This window comes from Homo sapiens, chromosome 13 (genome assembly GCF_000001405.40).
Source record: "Homo sapiens chromosome 13, GRCh38.p14 Primary Assembly".
Lineage (NCBI taxonomy): Eukaryota > Metazoa > Chordata > Mammalia > Primates > Hominidae > Homo > Homo sapiens.
This window is the reverse complement of record NC_000013.11, coordinates 19,985,921-20,013,476: the sequence shown is the minus strand read 5'-3', so window position 1 is coordinate 20,013,476 and position 27,556 is coordinate 19,985,921. Positions and strand designations below refer to the sequence as shown.

Below are 27,556 nucleotides of genomic sequence, written 5' to 3'. Positions count from 1 at the left end.
GACACAGTATTGAAAATTATAGCCACAACCATTAGTTAAGAAATAAAATGCATCCGAATTGGAAAAAAGTAGAACTATCTCTATTCACAGATGACATGAAACTCATAAAGAGAAAAATACCAAGAAACTCATAAAGCTAGTAGAGCTAACATTCAGTAAACTTGCACAGTACATGATCAATGTACAAAAATCAGATGTTTCTATATACTAGTAATGTACAATCTGAAAAGGAAATTAATAAAGCAAATCCACTAGAAATAGCATTAAAAGAATAAACAGGAATAAATGCAGCAAAGGAGGTGAAGACTTGTACACTAAAAACCACAAAAGACTGCTGAAAGAAATTAAAGACATAAATAAATGGTATGTCTTCATAAATAAATGCCATTTTCACAGACAGAATAACTTACTATTGCTAAGATGTCAATACTACCCAAAGCAATCTACAGATTCAATGCAATTTATATAAAAATTCCAACAAACTCTTCTGCAGAAATAGAAAAGCCAATCTTCAAATTCATATAAAATTAGAATGGGTCCAGAATATTCAAACAATCTTGACAAAAAACAAAGTTGGAGAACTCACATTTCCTGATTTCAAAACTTACTACAAAGATACAGTAATCAAAATAGTGCAGCACATACATAAGATCACACATGTAGATCAGTGGAACATAGAAATGATCTCTGGCCAATTAATATTTGACAAGTGTGATAAGTCCATTCCACAGAGAAAGAATAATCCCTTCATCAACAGGTGGTGGTGGTGGGAAAACTGGAATTCCAGTACAAAACAATGAAGTTGGACCCCTGCCTCACATAATAAACAAAAAGTAAATTAAAATGGATCAAATACCTAATTAAGAGCTAAACTCATACAACTCTTAGAGGAAACTGTAGAGGAAAACCATGACCTGGCATTTGGCAACAGATTCTTAAATGACACCGAAAGCACGACCAAAAGAAAACAATGGGTAAATCAAAATTTAAGACTTCCAGCTGGGCGTGGTGGCTCACACCTGTAATCCCAGCACTTTGAGAGGCTGAGAAGGACAGATCACTTGAAGTCAGGAGTTTCAGGTCAGCCTTGCCAACCTGGTGAAACCCCAACTCTACTAAAAAAAAATACAAAAATTAGTGGGACATGGTGGCCTATGCCTATAGTCCTAGCTACTTGGGAGGCTGACGCAGAAGAATCGCTTGGACCCAGGAGGCGGAGGCTGCAGTGAGCTGAGATCGCACTACCGCACTCCAGCCTGGGCTACAGACCGAGACCCATCTCAAAAAAAAAAGACCAGGGGCGGAGGCTCACGCCTGTAATTTCACACTTTGGGAGGCCAAGGCAGGAGGATCACTGAAGGTCAGGAGTTCGAGACCAGCCTGGCCAACATGGTGGAACCCCATCTCTACTAAAAATACAAGTATTAGCCCAGGCGCTGTGGCTCACGCCTGTAATCCTAGCACTTTGGGAGGTCGAGGCAGGTGGCTCACTTGACATCAGGAGTTTGAAACCAGCTTGGCCATCAAGGTGAAACCCCGTCTCTACTAAAAATACAAAAAAATAGCTGGGCATGGTGGTGTGCGCCTGTAATCCCAGCTACTCGGGAGGCTGAGGCAGGATAATTGCTTGAACGCGGGAGGTGGAGGTTGCATGAGCAGAGACTGTGCCACCGCACTCCAGCCTGAGCAACAGAGCAAGACTCCATCTCAAAAAAGAAAAAAAAAAAACAAAAATTAGGCATGGTGGCACACACCTGTAATCCCAGCTACTTGGGAGGCTGAGGCAAGAGAATCGCTTGAACCAAGGAGGCAGAGGTTGCACTGAGCCAAGATCGTGCCATTGCACTCCAGCCTGGGTGACAGAGCAAGACTCCTTCACCCCTCAAAAAAAAAAAAAATAAAACAAAAAAATAAAAACTTCTGCACATCAAAGGACATTATTGAGAAAGTAAAACAAAAACGTACATAATGGAAGACAGTATTTGCAAAACATATACAGAATGAGCAACGCAAATGCAAAAAATCTGAAATGCTCTAAAACCCAAAACTTTTCAATTACCAACATGATGCTCAAAGGAAATGCTCATTGAAGCATTTTGCATTTTGGATTTTTCAGATGTGGATTGTTTGAATGTAAGTATAATGTAAATATTCTAAAGTTTGAAAAACCTAAAATCTGAAACACTTTGGGTCCCAAGCATTTCAGATAAGGGATACTCAAACTGTACAAGATATAAAGAACTTCTTCAACTCCGGAACAAAAGTACGAAGGGATACAAAATTATAGCTATATAGGAGGAGTAAGTTCTATTGTTCCATAGCACTATAGAATGAATACAGTTAACAATTATTATTGGATAGATTCAAAAGGCTAAAAGAGAGAATTTCGAATGTTCCCAACATAAAAAAATAATTTTGGGGTGATGGCTATCCTAATTACCCTGATTTGAACATTCCACATTTTATACATGTATAAAAACATCACTCTGTATCCCCTACGTATATACAAGTATTACATATCAACTAAAAATAAAAGAGGGCCAGGCGCAGTGGCTCATGCCTATAATCCCAGCACTTGGGGAGGCCGAGGCGGGCAGATTACGATGTCAGGAGTTTGAGACCAGCCTCACCAACATGGTGAAACCCCGTCTCTATTAAAAATACAAAAATTAGCCAGGTGTGGTGGCACGCACCTGTACTCCTAGCTACTCAGGAGGCTGAGGCAGGAGAATCACTTGAACCCAGGAGGCAGAGGCTACAGTGAGCCAAGATCTCGCTGCTGCACTCCAGCCTGGGCAACAGAGGGAGACTCCATCTCAAAAACAAACAAACAAACAAACAGACAAACAAAAAACAAAAAGAGAAAAAAGAACTGAACTACAAAACCCAATTCAAAAACAGAGACAGGACTTGAATAGATACTTCTCCAAAGATGATACACAAATGGCCAACAAGCAAATGAAAAATTGCTCACTGGCCAGGTACGGTGGCTCACACTGTAATCCTAGCACTTTGGAAGGCCAAGGCAGGCAGATGGCTTGAGCTTAGGAGTTCGAGACCAGGCCTGAACAACATGGCGAATGAAACCCTATGTCTCCAAAAAAATACAAAAAATTAGACAGGCGTAGTGGCCCGTGCCTGTGGTCCCAGCTACTCGGGAGGCTGAGACAGAAGAATCCCTTGAGCCCAGGAAGCAGAGGTTGCAGTGAGCCAAGATTGTGCACCTGCACTCCAACCTGGGTAACAGAGCGAGACTCTGTCTCAAAAATAAAAAAAACAACAACAACAAAGAAAAATTGTTCATTGTCATTAGTCATTAGGGAAATGCAAATCAAAACCATGAGATACCACCGCACATGCACTAAGATATCTACAAGAAAAATCAAAAGCTTAAAACATGGAAAATAACAAGTGTTGGCAAAGATATAGAGAAAACAGAAGCCTTGTACATTGCTGCTGAGAACATAAAATGGTACGGTTGTGTAAAATAGTTTGACAATTCTTCAAAAGGTAAAACACAGAATTACCCTATGACTGAGCAAATCCACACTCATCCAAAAGAATGGAAAACCAGGATACTTATATCAAATTTATACACCAATATTCACTGCAGCATTATTCACAATAGTCAAAGGTGGCAACAAAGCAACATCTATCATAGGGACAACAAATCGATAAACAGAATGTGGCATATACATATAATGAATACTATTCAGCCATAAAAAGTAATGATGTTCTGATCGTGGCTATACTATGGATGAAACTGAAAGCATTATGTTTCAGCTTTCAGGTAAAATAACCCAGATGCAAAAAGACAAATATTATATAATTTCACTTACATGAATATCTAGAATATACGAATTCATAGAGACAGAAAGTACTAAGTTACCAAGGACTGGGATAGAAAAAAATGGGAGTTATTGGCTAATGTCAGTTTTTGTATGGCATGATGAAAAAGTTTCAGAAATAGAGTCAACGGTAGCACAACACTGTAAATGTAACTAATGCCACTCACTTATATACTTAAAAATACTTAAAACTGCAAATTTTATGTTACATATAGTCTACCACAATGTTTAAAAACCTTATGAGTTACTTTCCGTCCTTTTTATGCTCTGGAATTGTTTAAATAGCACTGAGATTTTCTTGTTTAAATTTGATGGAATTCCCCTATGAAAACATCAGAGCCTAGTCCTTGTTGTGGGGTAGTACTTTAATAATTATCTCTATTTCATCTATAGAAATTTGTCCACTTAATTTTGTCTGCGCTGAAGTCCAGTTGGGGAAATTATATTTTCACAGGAAATTAATCTAGGTTCAACATTTTTATATAGGGCTAAATAAACTGGTTCTTATGACTGATTTTTGTCAAGTTCTTTTGTTTTGATCTTCATATCTACCTTGTCATTTCTTATTTTACGTATTTCTGTTTTTAAACCTCTTTTCCTGATTAACAATTGGGTATTTTTTCCCTGGTTTTTGAAGACCTGATTTTTCAAAGAGGCAACATTCTGAACAATGTTAATACTATTTTAAAATTCCTAATTAGTTTATCCTTTTATCTTTATTTCCTTTCTTCTGTTTCAGTTTATTTTTCTTTTTCCAGGTTTTTCAGTTGACTATTTAATTCATTTATTTTCATTTTTACTGCTTTAAGTATATGAGGAAATGAATTTTCCTCTGGACATTTTTATAAAGCAAATGTAACACTGATACCTTAAAGAATGCACAAAAAAAAAGGACATTACAGACCAATCTTACTTATAAATATCAATGCAAAAGTACCAAATAAAGTATTAGCCATCAGAATGTATGCACATTTTTGAAAAAATAATTATCTGGCATAGTTTATTCTAGGAATACAAGGATGGCTCAATAGATTAGGAAATCTACTAATATGGCAGTGCCACCTCTTATCCTTGAGAGATACATTCTGAGGCTCCCAGTGGATGCCTGAAACCTTTGATACTATGTCGTTTCCCATAGACACATACCTATGATAAAGTTTAATTTCTAATTAGCCACAGCAAGAGATTAACAACAATTGGGCGGGAATGATGGCTCACGCCTGTAATCCCAGCACTTTGGAAGGCCGAGGTGGGCAAATCACTTGAGGTCAGGAGTTTGAGACCAGCATGGACAACATGGTGAAACCCAATCGCTACCAAAAATACAAAAATTAGTCGGGCATGGTGGCATGTGCCTGTAATCCCAGCCACTCAGGAGGCTGAAGCAAGGAGAATCATTTGAACCCAGGAAAAGTAGACTGCAGTGAGCTGAGATTGCACCACTGCACTCCAGCTTGGGCAACAGAGCAAGACCCTGTCTCAAAACAAAACAAAAAACAACAACAATTATAGTTAGTTATAATTAATCTCTCTCAAATTATCTTAATTGTAGTCTACTCACCTATAATTAATTACTTTCTGAAATTATCTTATTGTAGTCTGCTCACCTATTTGGAAACTGCAGCTGACTGTGAGTAATTGAAACCACAAAAAACAAAACTTTGCGTGAGAAAGGACTACTATATAACTCACACCTTAATAAATCTAAGGCCAGGTGTGGTAGCTCATGCCTGTAATCCCAGCACTTTGGGAGGCCGAGGCACGGAGACCACTTGAGCTCAGGAGTGTGAGACCAGCCTGGCCAACATGGTGAATCCCCATCTCTAGTAAAAACACAAAAATTAGCTCAGCGTGGTGGTGCACGCCTGTAATCCCAGCTACTCAGGAGGCTGAGGCAGGAGAATCACTTGAACCCAGGAGGTGGAAGTTGCAGTGAGCCAAAATTACGCCAATGCACTCCAGCCTGGGCAACAGAGCGAAACTTGTCTTTAAAAAAAAAAAAAAAAAACTAAAGAGGGAGAAAGTTCATATAACCTTCTCCACAGACAACAAAAAGATCTTTAAAGCAATAATAATTTCTGATAAAACATTTAATAAATAAATTTATGAAGATTGAAATCACACAGACTACCTTTCCAATGAGCAATGGAATAAAACTAGAAATCAAAAAGTCCTTAAAATAACATTAACCTGGACGGGTGCAGTGGTTCACGCCTGTAATCCCACCACTTTGGGAGGCTGAGGCAGGTGGATCACCTGGGGTCAGGAGTTCGAGACCAGCCTGGCTAACACGGTGAAACCCCGTTTCTACTAAAAATACAAAAAATTAGCCGGGTGTGGTGGCGCATGCCTGTAATCCCAGCTACTTGGGAGGCTGAGGCAGGAGAATCACTTGAACCTGGGAGGCGGAGGTTGCAGTGAGCTGAGATCACGCCAACGCACTCCAGCTTGGGAAACAAGAGCAAAACTCCGTCTCAAAAAAAAAATGATAACAACATTAACCTTAAAATTTAAATATAAACAATACGACCACTTCAAGCCGAGGTTTAAAAGTTTGAAATATTTGCAGCCCCTCTCCAACTCCCAAAGAGGAAATAAATTCAAAAGAGGAATCATTCTGATAGCATTTACCATTATATGTAAAATCTTAAATTTACTGCCAATAATCTACATACACAGATGTTCCCTAAGAATGGAGTTACATCCTGATAAACCCATTCTAAGTTGAAAATACCTAGGTCAAAGGTGCATTCTAAGACATTTCCAACTTACAACGGGTTTACCCAGACTTAACTCCATCATTATATCACGGAAATGACCTACCTCAAATGAATAAATACAGATGGTCCCTGACTTACGATGGTTCAGCTTTAATGGTACAAAGCACTATGCATTCAGTATGCTCCATGATATGACAACAATAATGGAATTAAATGAAATTCTAAGATAAAGCCAGTTAATAAACACTGTTAGAGTAAAAGTATTACAACACTTTCAAGAACATTCTAAAGAATGCCCAATTTTGATTAGAACATGAATTACCTGTTTGTATTCACTGACACAACTTTGACAGCAAAATCTTTTCTGTTGACCATCAATCACCAGAACATTATTTCCAGCACCTTTACTGGGCAAGTACTCTCCACACTGTTCACAGCAATTCATTATTAAACCATTGGCCATTCTATATCTATTAAAGCAGTGGTCACTGCACAGCTTATGAGTCATATTTTTAAAGCTGACTTCATGGCGAATCTAAAAGAAAAATAAACAAAATCTTACAAAACAGATCAATCTGACAAGTAGCTAAATAATAAAGCATTCTGAACAGAAATAAAGATGTCCTAATAAGGCTTGTTTGGAGAAAAGGAAAAAAAAAATTTTTTTTTTTTTTTTAAAGACAGGGTCTCACTCATTACCCAGGCTAAAGTACAGTGGCACCATCAAAGCTGACTGCAGCCTCAATCCCCTGGGCTCAAGCAATCCTCCTACCTCAGCCTCCCGAGTAGCTGAGACTATAGACACACACAACCACGCCTAACTAATGTTTTTTCTTTTAGGTAGGGATAGGGTCCCACTATGCTTCCCAGGCTGATTTCAAACTCCTGGCCTCAAGTGATCCTCCCACCTTGGCTTCCCAAAGTGCTAGGATTATATAGGTGTGAGCTACTGAGCCTGGCCCCATTTTCATAATTATTTAAATTGTTTTTATACACACAGGAACACATGTATGGCACTGAAAAAAGAAAAAAACCCATCAGTGACATCACTACAAACTTCTCTAGAGGTATCAGAAGATGACAGAAAACCAAGTTTGGGTAGTGGTGATATTAAACTTCATAGAGTAAAAATCTTTAGACCAATTTTTAAAAACTATAAATAAAGTACATTTCTCTAGAAAAATGAGGAGGGGAGAACCATTATAAATCATTCAAATGACTTATATATAAACAGATTACTTTTTATTTAACACAATATTAATAATGTGAGGTTATCAAAAAATATTCCAATCGTTCTACTTCTCAGCAAAATTATTTGTAGTATTTCTTGTGTAGTCTGCCTGCTTGTTTAAATAAATATATTACTAGACAAAAATCAACCTCAACACTATGGTTTTGTCTGTGAGTGTTCCCAACCTCAGGGAAAAACAAGGCAATTAACACAATGATTTTTCCGAAATCATCCTCTGGGAGAATCAGATTATATAAAAGGATATTTATAAGATAAGATCCTATGGGAGAATCAGATTACATAATAGGATATTTATAAGATAGTCTTTATATATATTCATTTTTAAGGAACTGATAAAAGATTATCTAATAGTTCTTAAATGAAGTTTAAAATATTCCTATTTGTTAGAATTAAATGATAAAGAAAAAAAATACAAACCTCAGTTAGTTTACCACAGATTGTACATCTTGATTTATTTAGAGCTCCTTTAGTAGGATTCTGTTTGTCTTCATAGAGAGATAAACAAGATGTACTACAGAATTCCTGGAAGGACTCACTTGAATCCACTTGAGCAACAATGGTTCCTTTCATTGTAGTTATATCTCTGAAAAATAAGTGGTACATATTAAAATTCCATTTTAAAAGAAATCAAATATAAGAGTCATAAGTGACATTTTTCATTTCTATAGACTAAGTCCTGCAAATCAAACATCATTCTTGGATCTAATAAATCATTTTTATTAGACATTCCTAATAAAATATGTTTGGAAATAAAGACTTTTGAGAAGCAAAAATATTTTATACTATTAAATCTTTGCCGCTACTCAATTTATCTTTAAATTCACTAAAAAGGATTTCAAATATTGGGAAAACTAAAAAAAGAAAAGCTGTTATTAGTTATATGGAATTAATGTTAAGGATTAATTTACTGAGGTATAACCTGTTCAATTCCCTCCCCTGGATAAGTAGAAAGTAAGAGGTATCTGGGTTATGGGGAATATGGTATACGTTCTAGAGGGATAACTGAACTTAAATATACCCACACACCCCATCCCCAAATAACCTCACCCACTATTAACATGGCTCTCCAACAGTAAATAGAAATATTAGAAAATGACAATACTGCTGAGCGCAGTGGCTCACGCCTGTAATCCCAGCACTTTGGGAGGCTGAGGCGGGTGGATCACGAGGTCAGGAGATCGAGACCATCCTGGCTAACATGGTGAAACCCCGTCTCTACTAAAAACACAAAAAATTAGCCAGGCATGGTGGCAGGCACCTGTAGTCCCAGCTACTCAGGAGGCTGAGGCAGGAGAACGGCATGAACCCAGGAGACGGAGCTTGCAGTGAGCGGAGATCAGCGCCACTGCACTCCAGCCAGGGCGACAGAGCGAGAATCCGTCTCAAAAAAAAACAAAACAAAACAAAACTGACAATACTGATGACCTTTGAAGTTTTCCTTTTATTCTGATTTTCAAGATCCTACACTGTAGTATTTAAGTTTACTACTGCAAAGCAATCTGTGTAACAATTGTTTCAGTATTTGAATTTATTAAACATGTAGAGAACACTAAGCTCTTTGTAAAATTCAAGATCTAAATATAGCTTCGGAGAATTGAGCTGCTCCAAGATATGGTACAGAAAGGCCACCAGGCTTTACCTTGCATATAACATACCATATTCCAGCTATTTTTAACCAGTGAAGCTAGATCAAAAAACAGCAGAAGAGGGCTGGGCATGGTGGCTCACGCCTATAATCCCAGCACTTTGGGAGGCTGAGGTGGGCAGATCACCTGAGGTCAGGAGCTGAAGACCAGTCTGGACAATATGCTGAAACCTCATCTGTACTAAAAATACAAAAATTAGCTGGGCATGGTGGCGAAAGCCTGTAATCCTAACTACTCGGGAGGCTGAGGCAGGATAACTGCTTGAACCCAGGAGGTGGAGGACCCAGGAGGTGGAGGCTGCAGTGAGCTGAGATCGCACCATTGCACTCCAGCCTGGGCTACAGAATGAGACTCTGCCTAAAAAAAAAAAAAGAAAAGAAAAAGAAAAAGAAAAAAACAGTAGAAGAGAGGATCCTGCCTTTCTAAGGCTGGCTAAAAATTGGTACCTGAGTCTTGAAATACTATTTCTAATGACTTAATGTTCAAAACAAACACATATAAAATCCAAAGACTTGCCAATTTTATAATCTTGATCTGAAGACAGGGTAAAATTTAACCAATTTTAACACAGAATCACGCATAAACTGCTTAGCATTTTTATTTGGCTATAAGAACTAATTTCTTCTCATTAATCATGTAAATAAGTATGTATTGTTACAAAATCAAAGAGTCCAATGGAGATTACAGACAAAATTAATTATAAGGACCTATCTAAATCAACTCCAATGCCATCCAAACAGGAAGCCTTTTATCCATATGCCACCTGGACTTGATAGGGAAGTTTCCAAAGGTATTACAAATCTGTTTCACTTTTCTTAAAATTTTACAACTCCAAAATTCAACTATATGTAATTATGTTGAAAGGTAAACCTTACTTTTTACACATAACACAGAGTTTCTTTGGAGCAGGCTTGTGGGAGAAGGAAGAAAGGCAGGTGGTAGAACAAAAGAGGTGAGCTGATCCTTTTCGTTGATAAGCTGTCTGGCCCTTCTGTAAAGGTTTTTTGCAGTTTGCACAAGTGACTTTAACTGGTTTAGTAGGCTGCTGTTGGACAGACGGCTGGAAAATCTGTTTAGGAAGTGAGGCCACTGGTGATAAAGAGTCCACCCCTGGTTGTTTCTGATTACGGGGAAATGAAGCTGACTGGGAGATCCAAGAATCTTAAAAACAAAATGCACAAGAAAGAATAATGAAACAAGTGTTTGTTTATACATATTAAAATTTATATCAGAGAAATATTAACTTCCCATTTTGTACAATTTTAAGATGTTAATGGAACAGCAACATAGCAGAGAGGTATATAGCACAAGTTTTGGAGTAAGAATGTCACGGTAACAATGCACTACATTCTTTAAAATAGTTAACATTAGATTTTAAGTGTTCTCAGCACAAAAAAAGGGTATGTCGGGTAACTCAGAGCTCAATCTAGCCATTCCCACAATGTATATCTACTTCAAAGCAACATGTTGTACACAATAAATAAATATACAAGTTTTGTCAATTTTTTAAAAAATTAATTAAAAGAAAAAAGAATGGTTCACATTCTAGCTCCATCGCTTACAAGATTGGGAAGCTACTTAAACTGTGCCTTACTCTTCAGAGCGCCTGAAATGGTATCAACCTCATGCTAATGGTAAACATTAAATGAGGTAAGACATATAATAAAGCATAATAACTGGCATATAGGAAGTATTAAAAAATGTCACTAGTTATTAAGCAGGAAGTATTCACGTATTTATAAAATATCACTTTAGGCAAGGAACACATATATCAACATTAAATAATAATAAAATCCTAACTAGAACCTTTGACAAATGTAATGCAAGTCTAATAAAGTTTATAATTATTTCCAAGACATATTTTAAGAACAGCTTTTCCATATATGTTTAGTTTCATGGCCTTTAAATGTAACACATAATCTCATAGAAAGAGTGTTACACAGAAATGATGGAATTAAACCAATGTATACAGGCATATCTCAGAAATATTTCTGGTTCAGCTCCAGATCACTGCAATAAAGCTAATACTGCAATAAAGCAAGACATGGGAATTTTTTTGGTTTCACAAAAAATGTTATGTTTACACTATAATGTAGTCTATTAAGTGTACAATAGTATTATATCTTTTTAAAATCTACATCTTAATTTAAAAATACTTTATTGCTAAAAAACACTAATCATGTGAGCTTTCATCAAGCTGTAATCTTTCTGCTGGTGGAGGGCCCTGCCTCAATGCTGATAGCTGCTGACTGATCACGATGGTGGCTGCCAATTGGCTGTGGCAATTTCTTAAAATAAGATAACAATGATCTTTACCCCATCAATGAACTCTTCTGCTGTATGACAGCAGTTTACCCACACTAGAGCTTCTTTCAAAATCAGAGTCAATCTTCTCAAACCCTGCAACTCCTTTATCAACTAAGTTTACGTAATACTCTAAATCCTTTGTTGTCATTTCAACAACATTCACAGTATCTTCACCAGGAATAGATTCATCTCAAGAAACCACTCTATTTGCTCAACCATAAAAAGCAACTCCTCATCTGTGCAAGTTTTATCACGAGATTGCAGCAATTCAATCTCATCTTCGGGCTCTACTTTTTTTTTTTTTTTTTTCTTTTGAGACAGTCTCTCTCTGTAGCCCAGGCTGGAGAGCAGTGGAGCAGTCTTAGCCCACTGCAACCTCTACCTCCTGGGATCAAGCAATTCTCATGCCTCAGTCTCCCAAGCAGCTGGGATTACAGGTGTGTGCCACCACACCTAGCTGATTTTTATATTTTTAGTAAAGACAGGGTTTCACCATGTTGGCCAGGCTGGTCTTGAACTCCTGGCCTCAACCGATCCATTTGCCTCAGTCACCCAAAGTGCTGGGATTACAGGCATGAGCCTCCATGCCCAGCCTCATTCAGGTTCCACTACTAATTCTAGTTCTCATGCTATTTCCACCACATCTACAATTACTTCCTCCACTAAAGTCTTGAACCCTTCACCATCATTCATGAGGGTTGAAATCAACTTCTTCCAAACTCTGGTTAATAATGCTGTTTTGACCTTCTCCCATGAATTACAAATGTTCATAAGGGCACTGAGAATGGCGAATCCTTTCCAGAAGGCTTTTAATTTACTTTGCCTAGATCCATCAGAGGAATCACTATCTATGGCAGTTATAGCCTTACAAAATGTATTTCTTAAATAGTAAGACTTAAAAGTCAAAATTACTCCTTGATCCACAGGCTACAGAATGAATATTGTGGTAGCAGGTATGAAAACAACACTCATCTCCTTGTACATCTCCATCAGAGCTCTTGGATGACCAGGTGTACTGGGCAGTAATAGTTTAAAAGGAATCATTTCTGCTGAACAAAAGGTCTCAACACTAGTTTAAACTATTCAGTAAACCATGCTGTAAACACACATGCTGTCATCGGGGCTTTGTTGTTCCACTGATAAAGCACAGGCAGAGTACATTTATCATCATTCTTAAGGACCCTACAATTTTCAGAATGGTAAATGAGCACTGGCTTCAACTTACAGTCACTAAGTATATTAACCTCTAACAAGAGAGCCATCAGTTGTTTTGTCTACACTGAAAATCCGTTGTTTCATGTTGCCACCTACATCAATTATCTTAGATCTTCTGGAGAACTTGCTACAACTTCTACGTCAGCACTTGCAGCTTCACCTTGCACGTTTATGTTATGGAGATGACTTATTTCCTTAAACCTCATGAACCAACCTTTACTAGCTTCAAACTTTTCTTTTGTTTCCTTATCTCTCTCAGTTCTCATAAAACTGAAAAAGAGTTAGCGCCTAACTCTGGATTAAGCTTTGGCTTAAGGAAATGTCATAGTTGGTTTGATCTTCTATCCAGACCACTTAAACTTTCTCCACATCAGCAATAAGGCTGTTTTGTGGCTGGGCACGGTGGCTCACACTTGTAATCCCAGCACTTTGGGGGTCTGAAGCAGGTGGATTGCTTGAGCAGTTTGAGAGCAGCCTGGGCAACATAGCGAAACCCTGTCTCCACAAAAAATATTTTTTAAAAATTAACCAGGCATGGTGGCACATTCTTATGGTCCTAGATACTCGGGAGGCTGAGATGGGAGGATCTCTTGAGCCTGTGAGGCAGAGGCTGCAGTGAGCCAAGTTCAAACCACTGCACTCCAGACTGGGTAAGAGTGAGACTCTGTCTCAAAAAAAGGCTATTTCACTTTGTTATCATTCCTGTGTTCACTGGAGTAGCAGTTTTAATTTCCTTCAAGAACTTTTCCTTTGCATTTACAATTTGGCTGTTTGGTTCAAGAGGCCTAGCTCTCAGCCTTTCTAGGCTTTTCAACATGCATTCCTCACTAAGCCTAAACAGGTCTAACTTTTGATTTAAAGCAAGAAATGTAAGGTTTTCTTTCACTTGAACACTTAGCAACCATTATAGGGTTATTAACTGACCTAATTTAAATATTGCTGTGTCTCAAGGAACAGGGAGGTCCAAGGAGAGGGAGAGTTAGAACACACACAACATTTATCAATTAGGTTCACTCTCATATGGGTATGGTTTGTGGCATCCAAAACAATTACAATAGTAACATCAAAGATCACTGATCACAGATCACCGTAACAGATATAATAACAATGAAAAGGCCTGAAATATTGTGAGAATTACCAAAATGTGAAACAGAGACACGAAGTGACCACATGATGTTGGAAGTGTGGCGCCAAAAGACTTACTCGGCTCAATGTTGCCACAAACCTTCAATTTGTGTAAAATGCAATTATCTGTGAAGTGCAATAAACAAAGTACTATAAAATGAGGTATGCCTGTACTGACCAATCCAATGTCAAATTCCTCTACCACTGCAAAGGTTCAGCACAGCACAGTACTGAGGTGTGGTAACTATTAATGCTAGAGGACATATTTTCTCTTTTGTGCTAAGCTTCTTTAGTGTTTAGTAGAAGTCTCCAGTTTGCTGCACTAGTTGCTGTTCTGCAGGCCTCCCATGGCACTACCAATACCATAACCTATCTTCATTTTGAAACTTTTCAGGTTACCACTTCTAATTTCTACTACTCTGGTCTCTCATAAATTTCTTTTTCCTTTCTAGTTTCTCCGTATTTTGAACTTCCATACATAAAAGCTGCCCTTCCACAGGAAAAAAATTATTTTCCTTGCGGTACAAAATACAACCAGAGCTTGGGAAAACTTCTTTACTACCAAAACTTTAAAAAGGATGATTTTTTGGTTCTGACCCATTCCATCAACCTAATGGTTTCGAGGGGCTATTCAGATCTTACCTGACTGTATTCATACCCCTTAGTTGGAGAAACAAAAACAAGAACACACCAAACTTATTAGAATAAAGAGTGCATTCTGGAATTCTGTTATTTAACTATCATCACAGTAACTGACCAGTTTCAATAAATGGGTAAAAATCTAATCAACGAGAAAGAAAGTCACTAGAAGAACTGGTAATTCCATCTTAAGAAAGGAAAAAAGGCCTCCAATCAAAAATTATGCTTGAACATATCTAAAAGAAACAGCTCTTGCCCACACAAATAGTGGCTCCTCGGGGTGTTCTATTTTGTAGGCTTGTCACTTGAATACATAGTTAAAAGAGCCTATCAAAACTTAAGGGCATCTATTGCCTTGACACTGAAAAAAATGGTGCTTCTCTATTTTCAATTTACATTTGCCCTAGTTTTACATTTTTATTTCCTCCAACATCAAAAAAATTTTTTAGGAATAGAAAAGGCCTAATCATTTTGTCTAAACCTTCAATTTCATACAAGGGATTTCATGAAAGGATAGCTGGTAAATTTTCCCAATTAACAATTAGTCCAAGAACCAATATAAATAGCCAAGATTTTATAGCTCTTCATCCATTATTCTCTATTACAAATAAAATCAGCATATAAATGCAAGACCCAATTCATATGTCTCTTTGTGTACAGTTTTTCTGATGACGAGTTTACAGAGTTTGAGTAAACAGGAACACAATTCTTATGTTACGGTCTCTTTGATCCAGCAATATTCCTAAAGAAGTAAGTATCCCAAGATGTATACACAAGAATATTCTTAAAAATAATTATCTAAGTAGGAAAAACTGGAACCAAGCTAAATACAAAATAGACAAATTTCACACGCATATATTGACATGAACAAAATTTCAAGATCTACTGCTAGGTATTAAAAGGAATGGCAGGAATGGTTGCAAAACTGTACCTATGCTATGATCTCAGGTTAGAATTACATGTACTATTAATTAATTGATTCTCAGCGGTAAGACAACATTATTTTCTTTATATTTTTACATATAAGAAAGAAAAAATAGCTATTTTAAAACTAATTTGAGCACATTTAAGCGGCAAGGTTACAATGAAAGACTAACATACAGTTCATGACAGTATAAATTGCTAAGAGCTTTCTAAAAAGCATTATTACAATGTATTTCTGTAAGTTAAAAATGCTCATACAAACACACACATACACCCATACACACATACACACACTTCTACCTACCTACAAGGAGTTTTAGAAGTAACAAGAAATTTCAAAACTGAGTAAAAAAGAGCATATTTATTTTAACACTACTATATACCAGGTATGTATTTTTAAACCAAAAATCGTTAGGGGCATGGGAGTAATCATAATATTTAGCCCAGTAACTTCACTTGTAGGAATATACTCTAAGGAAATAATCAGGAATGTGAACAAATATTTCATCATAGACCTACAACAGCAAAATATGGGAAACAATGCAAAAGCCAAATATGGGAATGTTACATCAATACCCATTGTGTAGCCATTAAAACTTATATAAATAGTTAATGGTATGAGAAAATGCAGTGGAGGAAAAAACAGACAACAAAACTACACAGATCTGCATTTCCACTAGGTTAACAAAATACAAAAAAAGACTAAAAGACAACCACCCAAAGCATTGATAGTGGTCATCTTTACTCAGGAGGACTATGATTGGGTCTCACTGTGTTGCGCAGGCTGCTGTGTGCTGGCTATTAACACGCACCAGCACAGAGCACTACAGTCTCCAACTCCCAGCTTCAAGGGATCCTCATATCTCAACAGCTCCACACCCCACACCTTCATGCTCAGCTTTCTTTATTTGTTTTAGACAATGTCTCACTCTGCTGCCTGGGCTAGAGTGTAGTGGCACAATCATAGCTCACTGCAGCCTTGATCTCCCAGACTTAAAACAACCTTCCAGCTTCAGCCTCCCAAGTAGCTGAGGCTACAGGTGTGCACCACCATGCCTGGCTAGTTTTTTTTGTTTTGTTTTTTGAGACAGAGTCTCAGTCTGTCGCCCAGGCTGGAGTGCAGTGGTGCAATCTCTGCTCACTGCAACCTCCGCCTCCCAGGTTCAACAAATTATCGTGCCTCAGCCTCCCGAGCAGCTGGCATGCACCACCATGCCCCACTAATTTTTGTATTTTAGTTGAGATGGGGTTTCACCATGTTGGCCAGGCTGGTCTCAAACTCCTGACCTCAGATGATCCGTCCACCTTGACCTCCCAAAATGCTGAGATTACAGGCTTGAGCCACCGCAACCAGCCCTGGCTAGTTTTTTTTTTATCTTTAGTAGAGACAAGGTCTTGCTCTGTTGCCCAGAGGCTGGTCTGAAACTCCTGAGCTCAAGTGATCCTCCTGCCTTGGTCTCCCAAAGTGCTGGGATGACAGGCATGAGCCACCATGCTTGGCACCAGCTCTTGTTTTAAATTATAGATTTTCTAAGCAGTCTTCAATAATCAGACATTACTCGACAAATAAGAAAAATAACTAGCAATTCATATAGCATTCTACATTGCCTAGATTTTAGTTACTTCACATTATTCTCCACAATCCCTAGGATAATGAGCCTAAAATGATGACAGAATGGGTCAGAGAGAGGCATGTGAGAGAGAAACGCCGATAGACACACACACACAGAGGAATTGGGGGAGAGGTTAAAGAGAGAGAGAGACATCCACAGACATGTCATGAAAAAGTCACAGAGTTTGTTTTGTTTTTGAGACAGGGTCTCACTTTGTCACCCAGGCTGGAATACAGTGGTGCAATCCTGGCTCACTGCAACCTCTGCCTATGGGGCTCAAGGAATCCTCCCACCTCAGCCCCCCAAGTAGCTGGGACCACAGGTGTGCACCACTATGCCTAGCTAACTTTTCATATTTTCAGTATTTTGTATTTTTTCACCACGTTGTCCAGGCTGGCACAGAGTTCTTATCACTTCCATATTTTAAAGTTTTCACAGAACAAGGCTGCTCACAGAAAACAATTTCAAATAGTCAAGAAAACTATCAACCTTCAAAAAAAAAGGTGGGGGGCTGGGTACAGTGGCTCACACCTGTAATCCCAGAACTTTGAGAGGCCAAGGCAGATGGATCACTTGAGGCCACGAGTTCAAGACCAATCTGGCCAACATGGTGAAACCCCGTCTCTACTAAAAATACAAAAATTAGCTGGGTATGGTGGCACACATTTATAATTCCAGCTACTAGGGAGGCAGAGGCTGCAGTCAGCCGAGATTGCACCACTGCACTCCAGCCTGGGCGATACAGCAAGACTCTGTCAATAAACAAATAAATAAGAAAAAAAAGTATTGCTTATTTATGCCCTTGAAAAATAAAAATAATTTTTAAAAATTTTTTAGTAGTAAAATGCTAACTAAAAGCTAAAGATACGTGGTCAAAAATAAACACGGCATTATCGAGTTGTAGACATTAAATATATACAGCCTTTTGCATGTCAATCATAACTTTAAAGTAGTTTTAGAAAAGAAAAAAAGGATGATATGTTTGGCTTTCTTCAAATGTGAGAAAAATAAAACCTTAGCCAACTCTTAATAAAAAATAAAATGGCTGGGCATGGTGGCTCATACCTAGAATCCCAGTACTTTAGGAGGCCAAGGCAGAAGGAATGTTTGAGCCCAGGAGTATAAGACCAGCCTGGGCAACACAGTAAGACTCCGTCTCTACAAATAATTTTTTTTTTTTTTTTTAATTTAGCCAGGCATGGTGGCTCACACCTGTGGTCCCAGCTACTCTGGAGGCTGCGATGGAAGGATCACCTGAGCTCAAGAAGTCGAGGTTGCAGTGAGCTGAGATTGTGCCACTCTACTCCACTCTGGGCGACAGAGAGAGACCCTGTCCCAAAAAATTAACTAATTAATTAAATTAAATAAGCACAGGGAAAGTAGAAATAAATCTAAATGCGGCCAGGTGCAGTGACTCACGCCTGTAATCCCAGCATTTTGGGAGGCTGAGGTGGGCAGATCACCTGAGGTCAGGAGTTTGAGACCAGCCTGGCCTGGCCAACATGATAAAACCCCATACAAAATACAAAAATTAGCCATGCGTGGTGGTGGACGCCTATAATCCCAGCTGCTTGAAAGGCTGAGGGAGGAGAATCGCTTGAACACAGGAGGCGGAGATTGCAGTGAGCCAAGATTGCGCCACTGCACTCCAGCCTGGGTGACAGAGCAAGACTCCATCTCAAAAAAAAATCTAAATGCAACTACTGTACAATATTACACTGTTCTTTAAGTGTGCTATTATATTAATCTTTTGGTTCTCTAATTTATATACTAAAACACTAGTAAAAATTCTATTAGCAAAAAGTAATGCATGACAAACAAGATATTAAATTATCACACTTCATTCTTTTGTTTGTTTTGCTTTTTAAATTTAGAGATGGCGTCTCGCTATGTGGCCTAGACTGGTCTCGAACTCCTGGGCTCAAGCAATCCACCCACCTTGGCCTCCCAAAGTGCTGGGATTACAGGTGTGAGCCGCCGTGCCCGGCCAAATTATCAGACTTTGGTGATGAATGTAAAGAGTATTTTTTTCTTAAATCCTTTAAATATAAAACTACTTTATGATTAACTTTTTAGTAATCCACAGAAAAATACTATACATGGTTTTACAATTCTTATTAAAATACCAAACTTAAGATAAAATTCAATATAATTCACATATTTCACATGATGAAACTAAACAAGGTAATACCAGTTACTACAATGAAAAAAGCAGCAGCCAAAAGTTTAAATTCATTTACATGAAGTAGAGTATCTCTTACTGCTTACCAGGATTATGATGAGTTGCAGATTCTCCATTCTGAAAAACGTCTCCTGCCACATTCATTCTACCAGGATTAAAAGGTCCTACTCCAGTCTTGGTCTGTGAAGTTAAAGATGGGGTGTATGTTTGTATATTAACACCAAAATTACTTGACTGCAGTCCGTTAGAGACATCTCCCAAGTTGGTATTCTGCAGTGATGTTACATGTGTAATCATTAAGTTCATATCTCGCCCGTCAGTATTTTCTAATTGGCCATCATTCACAGAGCTTACACCTGTTTCTAAAGTTGTAACATTAGCAATCTGAATTTCAGAGTCTGGTTCTGTGGTGATACCACTATTACCCATTCCTGCATTTACCTTACTTCTTGAAAAACTGGAAGTGGAGAAATCCACATCATTGGTTCTGTTTTTAGTCTCAGGAGGTCTTCGTTCAATAAAATTGGAGGAATTTTTCTCTTGCCCTTGATTTGTTTCCATGTCCTCTTCATCATCAATGACAATTGTCTCACTTACACTTCCCTTCTGAGATGCCAACTCTTTTGAGGAAGGAGTAATTTTGGAATCATTTCCTTGTAGTTCTTCATTTTTTGATGATGTAAATGTTATGGTTCTTTGATCAGCTACCACTGGTACAGAAGGTGGGGGAGGTTGTACAGGTTCGATAAAAACAACATCATCATCATCTTCCACTGACGAGTTCTGAAACTTATTAGATCTAGACACTAAAGGATTAGCTGGACCACTAAATGAGTTTCCTACATTCGTGAGACTAGTTGCCATGGCCGTACTCCCTAATAAAACAGGAGTCTGATCAGTCAATTCTAATCCTCCCACTGAACTTGTGTCCATGCCAAAGAACCTGTTAGGAAGATAGAAAAAAGAATTAAAATGTCAGTATGACTTTTTATGTTACTCTAACTGAAACCATTGATTTAAAGGGTACTTTTATTTTATTTTTATTCTAAATGAAGTGATTCTTGTCTAACATTCAGGAAAATATGTGATATCCATTCATTAATCATTTCATATAGTTTACATGTTAACTTTTGCAGGATAACAAGGAAGGCAATTATCCAATTTTTATTGGATAATTAATCATATGCAATATATTCATGGTAATCATATGCAATATATTCCTACCACCACCACCACCTCCTTTCAGGGGTACACTATTTACTCCATAAAATTTATCACTAAAAATATGGATAAATCCTCCCACACATCTGAACAGGAAAAAAAAAAAATCAAAATCTGACAAAAAATAATTACTTCATTATACACTTATCCCATTTATTCACTGTATCATATAAAGTCACATGCTATAATCCTTTCCCTTACCTCATCTTTTTTGGGGGGTGGGGAAGGACAGGGTCTCGTTCTGTCACCCAGGCTGGAGTGCAGCGTTGTGACCATGGCTCACTACAGCCTTGACCTCCCAGGTTAAGGCGATCCTCCCACCTCCAAGTAGCTGGGACTACAGGCCATCGCCACCACACCTGGCTAATTTATTTATTTATTTATTTAGGTAGAGACGAGGTCTCACTATGTTGCCCTGGCTGGTCTCAAAATTCCTAGGCTCAAGAGATCCCCTGAACTCGGCCTCAGCCTCCCAAAGTGCTGGGATTACAGGCATGGGCCATTGTGCCTGGCCATCTCATCTTTTTTTAACCCACTTTTCTCATATTCTCTGGCTCCCATTAATTGTACAATTAAATCTTTCTGAAAATTTTAATCTTTTTTGACCCTATCCAGAAAGCATAAATTGTTTTTTTTGCCAGGCACTATGCTGTGTGCTTTATATCCCAGTAGCAGGCTGAATAAAGGTCACCAAAGATATCAGGTCCCCATTCCTGGAACCTACAAATGTTAACCTTACATGGAAAAAGGGACTTTGCAGATATGATTAATGTTAAGGATTTTCAAGTGAGATTATATGGGATTACCTGAGTGGGTCACAAATGTACTCACAAGTACCCTTATAAAAGACATGCAGAGGGAGACTACAAGTAAAAGAGAAGGCAGTGTGACCATTGGGAGGCTGAGGTGGGCAGATCACTTGAGCCCAGGAGTTTGAGACCAGCCTGGGCAACATGACAAAACCCCATCTCTACAAAAAATACAAAAATTAGCCGGGCATGTTAGCACATGCCTGTAGTCCCAACTACTCAGGAGACTGAAGAGGAGAATCATCTGAGGCCGGGAGTTTGAGGCTGATGTCAGCCATGATTGTGCCCTTGCACTCCAGCCTGAGCTACAGAGTGAGAACCTGTCTCAAAATGGGAAAAAAAAAAAAAAAAGAAAAAGAAAAGAAAAGAAATTCTGGCTTACAGATGCTAACTCTCTTGCCCAAGTCACACAGCTAGGTTGAATACCCAGGTCTCTAAAACTCAAGAGTTCAAAACTCATCATTCTGCTATATTCAACTAATATTTTCTAAGCACCTCCTATATGCCAGGTTGTGCTGAAGTCAAAGAAAATAGCAGAGTTAAGAAGATAACCTCAGGCCAGACACAATGGCTCATACCTGTAATCCTAGCATTTTGGGAGGCTGAGGTGGGAGGACTGCTTGAGCCCAGGAGTTCGAGACCAGCCTGAGCAACATAACAAGACCTCAAATCTACTAAATACTAAAATTTAAAAGTCAGCCAGTCATGGTGGCGCACATCTGTAGTCCTGGCTACTTAGGAGGCTGAGGCAGGAAGATCACTTGAGCCCAGGAGTTCGAGGTTGCAGTGAGCTACGATTGTGCCACTATATTCCAGCCTGGGCAACAGAGCAAACCCTGTCTCAAAAGAAAACACATACGTACACACACACACACACACACACACACACACACACAGAAAATACATACGTACACACACACACACACAGAGAGAAAATTTCTAGGACAAAGTTACTGAGCAAATGGAGATGAGACAGATCATGGGCTCAGGTGGTAATATCACTAACTCTGAACAAGAACCATTTTGATCTCACAGATCAAACTTGGGGGGCAAAATGCAAGGGGAACCAACTAGAAGAGGTAAAACTGAAGGGCAAGTATAGACTATAGATTAAATTGTAGATAGGATGAATGGGAAGTTGAAGTGGCTTATATACAGTGGTTTGGCCTAATTTTCATAGTGTATTATCTGAAAAGATGAGGAGATACTGGCTATATAGTTCTTAAAGACTGGTTTAAAAACACTTCATTTAAAGAGCCTCTGAAAGGATAAAAAAGAGACTAATATGTATTGCTTTGATTTACAGATGACAGTGGTAGAGGCATTTTTCACTGTACGTCTTGTAGCATTTTCTTAATTTTGGGCCACGTGATTTATCACTTTTTTTTAAACTAAATTTAAAAACTTTTAAACAGAATAACAGAAGGTGAAGAGATAACTAGTTTGGTGATCAGAGAACATCTCTTTAAGCAAGTGACATTTACACTGAAATACGAAATGATAAGATTCAGCTGTGAGAAAACTGGGGACAGGATATTCCAGGCAAAGAAAACAGCTTCTGCAAAGCCTAGAGGGAATGAAGTTGGCCAATCCAAGCAGCAGAATAAAGCCAATGTGGCAGATCAAAGTAAGAAGCAAAGAGGAGGATAAAATGAGATAAACAGGCAGAGAATAACACATCAAGGCCAACTAGCTAATTCATTAATTACATTTAACAGATTTACAGAGCACCTAGTATGCACAAGATACTTTCTAGGCACATGGCAAAAATCAGTAATCAAAACAGGTAAACAGCCCTGCCTAAGCTTAGAAAGCATTAATTCTAACTAAAGGTGAAAGTTTGGATTTTACTGGAACAGGAAACACTGCCATGTTTCCAGCAAAGAGGTGATACAATCTCAGGTTTTAAATAGATCACTGTGGCTGCTATGTGGGAACAAGAGGGAAAAACTGGAAGCAAAGAAACAAACTAGATGGCCATTGAAATGGTCCAAGTGAGAGATGACAGTGGCTGAAAAAGGGTGGTGATGGGAGATGAGAAAAAGTGAACAGATTAGGGTATTTTAAAAGCAAGATCTCTTACTGACATGAAAAAAAATCTACAAGGTATACTGATGACTTTTAAAAGTTACAGAACACTCATGGAGATAGAGTAGAAGGATGCTTAGCAAAGGCTGAGAAGGGTAGTGGCGAGGTGGGGGTTAATGGGCACAGAAAAACAGAATAAGACCTATTATTTGATAGCACAACAGGGTGACTATAGTCAATAATAATCTAATTGTACATTTTAAAATAAGAGTATAACTGGATTATTTGCAACACAAAGGATAAATAGTTGAAGGGATATTCCATTCTCCATGATGTGATTATCACACAATGCATGCCTGTATCAGAACATCTCATGTAGACGGGCAGAGGCTGAGGCAGGCAGATCACTTGAGGTCCGGAGTTAGAGACCAGTCTGGCCTACATGGTGAAACCCCATCTCTACTAAAAATACAAAAATTAGCTGGGCATGGTAGCATGCACCTGTAATTCCAGCTACTCAGGAGGCTGAGGCACGAAAATCGCTTGAACCTGGGACATGGAGGTTGCAGGGAGCAGAGACTGCACCACTGCACTCCAGCCTGGGTGATGGGGTGAGACTCTGTCTCAAAAAGAAAACAAAAACAAAAACAATCTCATGTAACTCATAAATACACCTACAGTGTACCCACAAAAACACCTACAAAGTACCCACAAAAATTAAAAATTAAAAAGTTAGAGAACACAAAGAAAATTACTACTGTGATGTTATGCATATCCCAAAAACCTATATATACGATATTTTCCCTGAAGTATATATATTTGTACATAAATTCATGGGGGGAAAAAAACTCTTGAGAGAATCACATCATACTGACAGAAGTAGTTTGCTAGGAAGGGCAGAAGTTTACGCAGGGGAGGGTGAGTGGTCAACCAGATGCACTTTGGATTCTGCTTTAATCTAGAGTTTCATGCAGCTAAGCATCTGACTGAATAAAGGAAGGAAAAGGAGTCATCTTAGCGGAAGATGATATACAGTTGACAAAATTCTAGTCAAAGATGCAATCTCCAGATACAAAAAGAGATGCAGAATAAGCACTTTTCACAGACATCAAATATGGGTATACTAACTTTTTAATGAATCATTAATTTGTCTTTTCTTTTTTTTTGAGATGGAGTCTCTGTCACCCAGGCTGGAATGCAGTGGCGCAATCGATCTTGCTCACCGCAACCTCCACCTCCTGGGTTCAAGCACTTCTCCTGCCTCAGCCTCCTGAGTAGCTGAGACCATAGGCATGCGCCACCACGCCCAGCTAATTTTTTGTGTTTTCAGTAGAGACGGGGTTTCACCACGTTGGCCAGGATGGTCTTGATCTCTTGACCTCGTGATCCACCCGCCTCAGCCTCCCAAAGTGCTGGAATTACAGGCGTGAGTGAGCCACCATGCCCGGCCGTAACTCGTCTTTTCACTGAATCTCTAAGACCTAACACAATGCTTGAGCACAGAGTAGACAATTGTCCCAAATATTTGAGGAAAGATCAGAAACCAAAGCCAATTATGTTCACTTTAACTATCAAAGTTATTTTTAAGTAACAGCATTATTTAATTATCCAAGTATACACTCTAGCCCTTTAGTTTATATATACTGTATTATTCTCTGACCATAAACCAAGTTCTAGTGTCAGAAGAGCACTGTTCTACCACTCAACAAAGTAAGAAAATGAAATATTTTCAAAAACATACAGTATTTTACAGAATACCAAGGTCTTATTTTATTCTCACATAACTGTGACAACCCCTTTGAGTTAAAAGAAAACAGAATTTTTTTCTATAATAAAACAGCAGCTCACACATTAATTAAAACTGCCCAAGGTCCCAAGACAGTAAAGGATTCAAACACTATACACAGAGCTCGGTTTCAAAACCAGTCTCTATTCCTCTCAGAGAAAGAGCTGTGTGTCTATCTGCTGTCAGATGAAAGACATGCTGAGACTGGAAAATCGCAAAAGATACATTTATTACTGCTTTAAAGAAAATGGGCTGAGGGCAGTGGCTCACGCCTGTAATCCCAACACTTTGGGAGGCTGAGGCAAGAAGATTGAGCTCTGGAGTTCAAGCCCAGCCTGGACAACATGGTGAAACCCTGTCTCTACTAAAATACAAAAATTAGGCTGGGCACGGTGGCTCACGCCTGTAACCCTAGCACTTTGAGAGGCTGAGGCGGGCAGATTGTCTGAGCTCAGGAGTTCGAGACCAGCCTGGCCAACATGACAAAACCCCATCTTTCCTATACACACACACACACACACACACACACACACACACACACGACAAAACCCCATCTTTCCTATACACACACACACACACACACACACACGTAGCGGGGCGCCCGGGTGCGGTGCCTCACGCCTGTAATCCCAGCACTTTGGGAGGCCCAGGTGGGCAGATCACGAGGTCATGAGTTTGAGACCAGCCTGGCCAAAACAGTGAAACCCCATCTCTACCAAAAATACAAAAAATTAGCCAGGCGTGGTGACAGGCGCCTTTAATCCCAGCTACTCGGGAGGCTGAGGCAGGAGAATCGCTTGAACCAAGGAGGTGGATTCTGCCGTGAGCCGAGATTGCGCCACTGCACTCCAGCCTGGGCGACGGTGAGAGACTCTGTCTCAAGAAAAAAAAAATAAGAGCTGCATTGTTTATTTACATTATTAATATTTAATTTCATTTTGCTTAATAGCTGTGAATATTTAAATCCTGACCTCTACCATTTTCTTGCTGTGGTTTTAAGCAGCTTACTTAACTGCTGAAATTTTTTTTTTTTTTTTTTTTTTTTTTTTTGAGACGGAGCCTTGCTCTCTTGCCCAGGCTGCAGGCTGGAGTGCAGTGGCACGATCACAGCTCACTGCAACCTCCACCTCCCAGGTTCAAGCAATTTTCCTGCCTCAGCCTCCTGAGTAGCTGGGATTACAGGCATGAGCCACCATGACCGGCTAATTTTTTTGTATTTTTAGTAGAGACGGGGTTTCACCATGTTGGCCAGACTGGTCTCGAACTCCTGACTTCAAGTGATCCACCTGCCTCGGCCTTCCAAAGTGCTGTGATTACAGGTGTGAGCCACCGTGCCCCGCTGAGGATTTTTTTTTAATCTGTGCAATTGATATAATAATGATTCTACTTTAAGGGGCTGCTATAGTGTTTGACATGAATATTTGGTCCATAATAACCATTAAAAGAATGTTAGTTATTACTGATGACAGTACTTGTATTTAAAAAATTTTAATTGAATTAGTTATGACAATTTTGAATGAAAATGTTATTCAGTATATTTCAATTTTTAAAACTTTCTGTAATAGAAATGTTAAAAATTTTTTTTTCAAATTTATTTAAAAGTAACTAAAGGACTTATCTGAAACTTTCTCCTTAGTATATCTTATTTTTGCTATAAACAAGCTTTCCTTATTAAGGAACTGCCTTAGAGTAATGATGTTTATATTTTAATTTCTGAAATGTCTTAGGATATGAAGTAGTAATTTATAGGTCTTTGGGTAAAGTAAATAATCACCCTTCTTTTTTTTTTTGTTTTTGTTTGTTTTTTCTGAGATGGCGATCTTTCTATGTTGCCCATGCTGGACTCCTGGGCTCAAGTGCTCCTCCTGCCTGTGTAGCTAGGACTATAGGTGTGTGCTAGGTTAAGCTTTTAAACAGAATTATCCCTTCTTTTTGTTTGTTTGTTTTGTTTGTTTGTTTGTTTTTTTGAGAGAGTCTGGCTCTATTGCCTAGGCTGGAGAGCAGTGGTGCGATCTAGGCTCACTGCAACACTGCAACCTCCAACTCCTGGACTCAACGGATCCTCCTGTCTCAGACTCCTGAGTAACGGGGACCACAGGCACACGCCACACGCCAGGCTGATTTTTTTGTATTTTTTTGCAGAGACAGGGTTTTGCCATGTTGCCCTGACCTGGTCTCGAACTCCCAAGCTCAAGCAACCTGCCTGCCTCAACCTCCTGAGTAGCTGGGATTTATAGGCGC

At 38.8% G+C, this 27,556-nt stretch overlaps 1 protein-coding gene across 37 annotated transcripts in view; it reads right to left on the bottom strand.

Annotated features, from left to right (window-relative positions):
* The window catches only part of ZMYM2 (zinc finger MYM-type containing 2), a 225,276-nt gene that overhangs the window by 75,639 nt on the left and 122,081 nt on the right, over positions 1–27,556 (bottom strand). For 23 of the 37 annotated variants that reach the window (NR_148365.2, XM_047430584.1, XM_047430585.1 and 20 more), the window contains 4 exons: positions 19,558–20,414; positions 10,342–10,627; positions 8,238–8,403; positions 6,891–7,103 (listed from right to left, as the gene is read on the bottom strand). Coding sequence is in view for 36 of the 37 variants with exons in the window: in XM_047430584.1 (XP_047286540.1) it covers positions 6,891–7,103; positions 8,238–8,403; positions 10,342–10,627; positions 19,558–20,414 (1,522 nt within the window). In the remaining variant the exon portion in view is untranslated. The remainder of the gene's footprint in view (positions 1–6,890; positions 7,104–8,237; positions 8,404–10,341; positions 10,628–19,557; positions 20,415–27,556) is intronic. The other 14 variants (NM_001353163.2, XM_047430595.1, XM_047430594.1 and 11 more) reach the window with 1 other exon arrangement.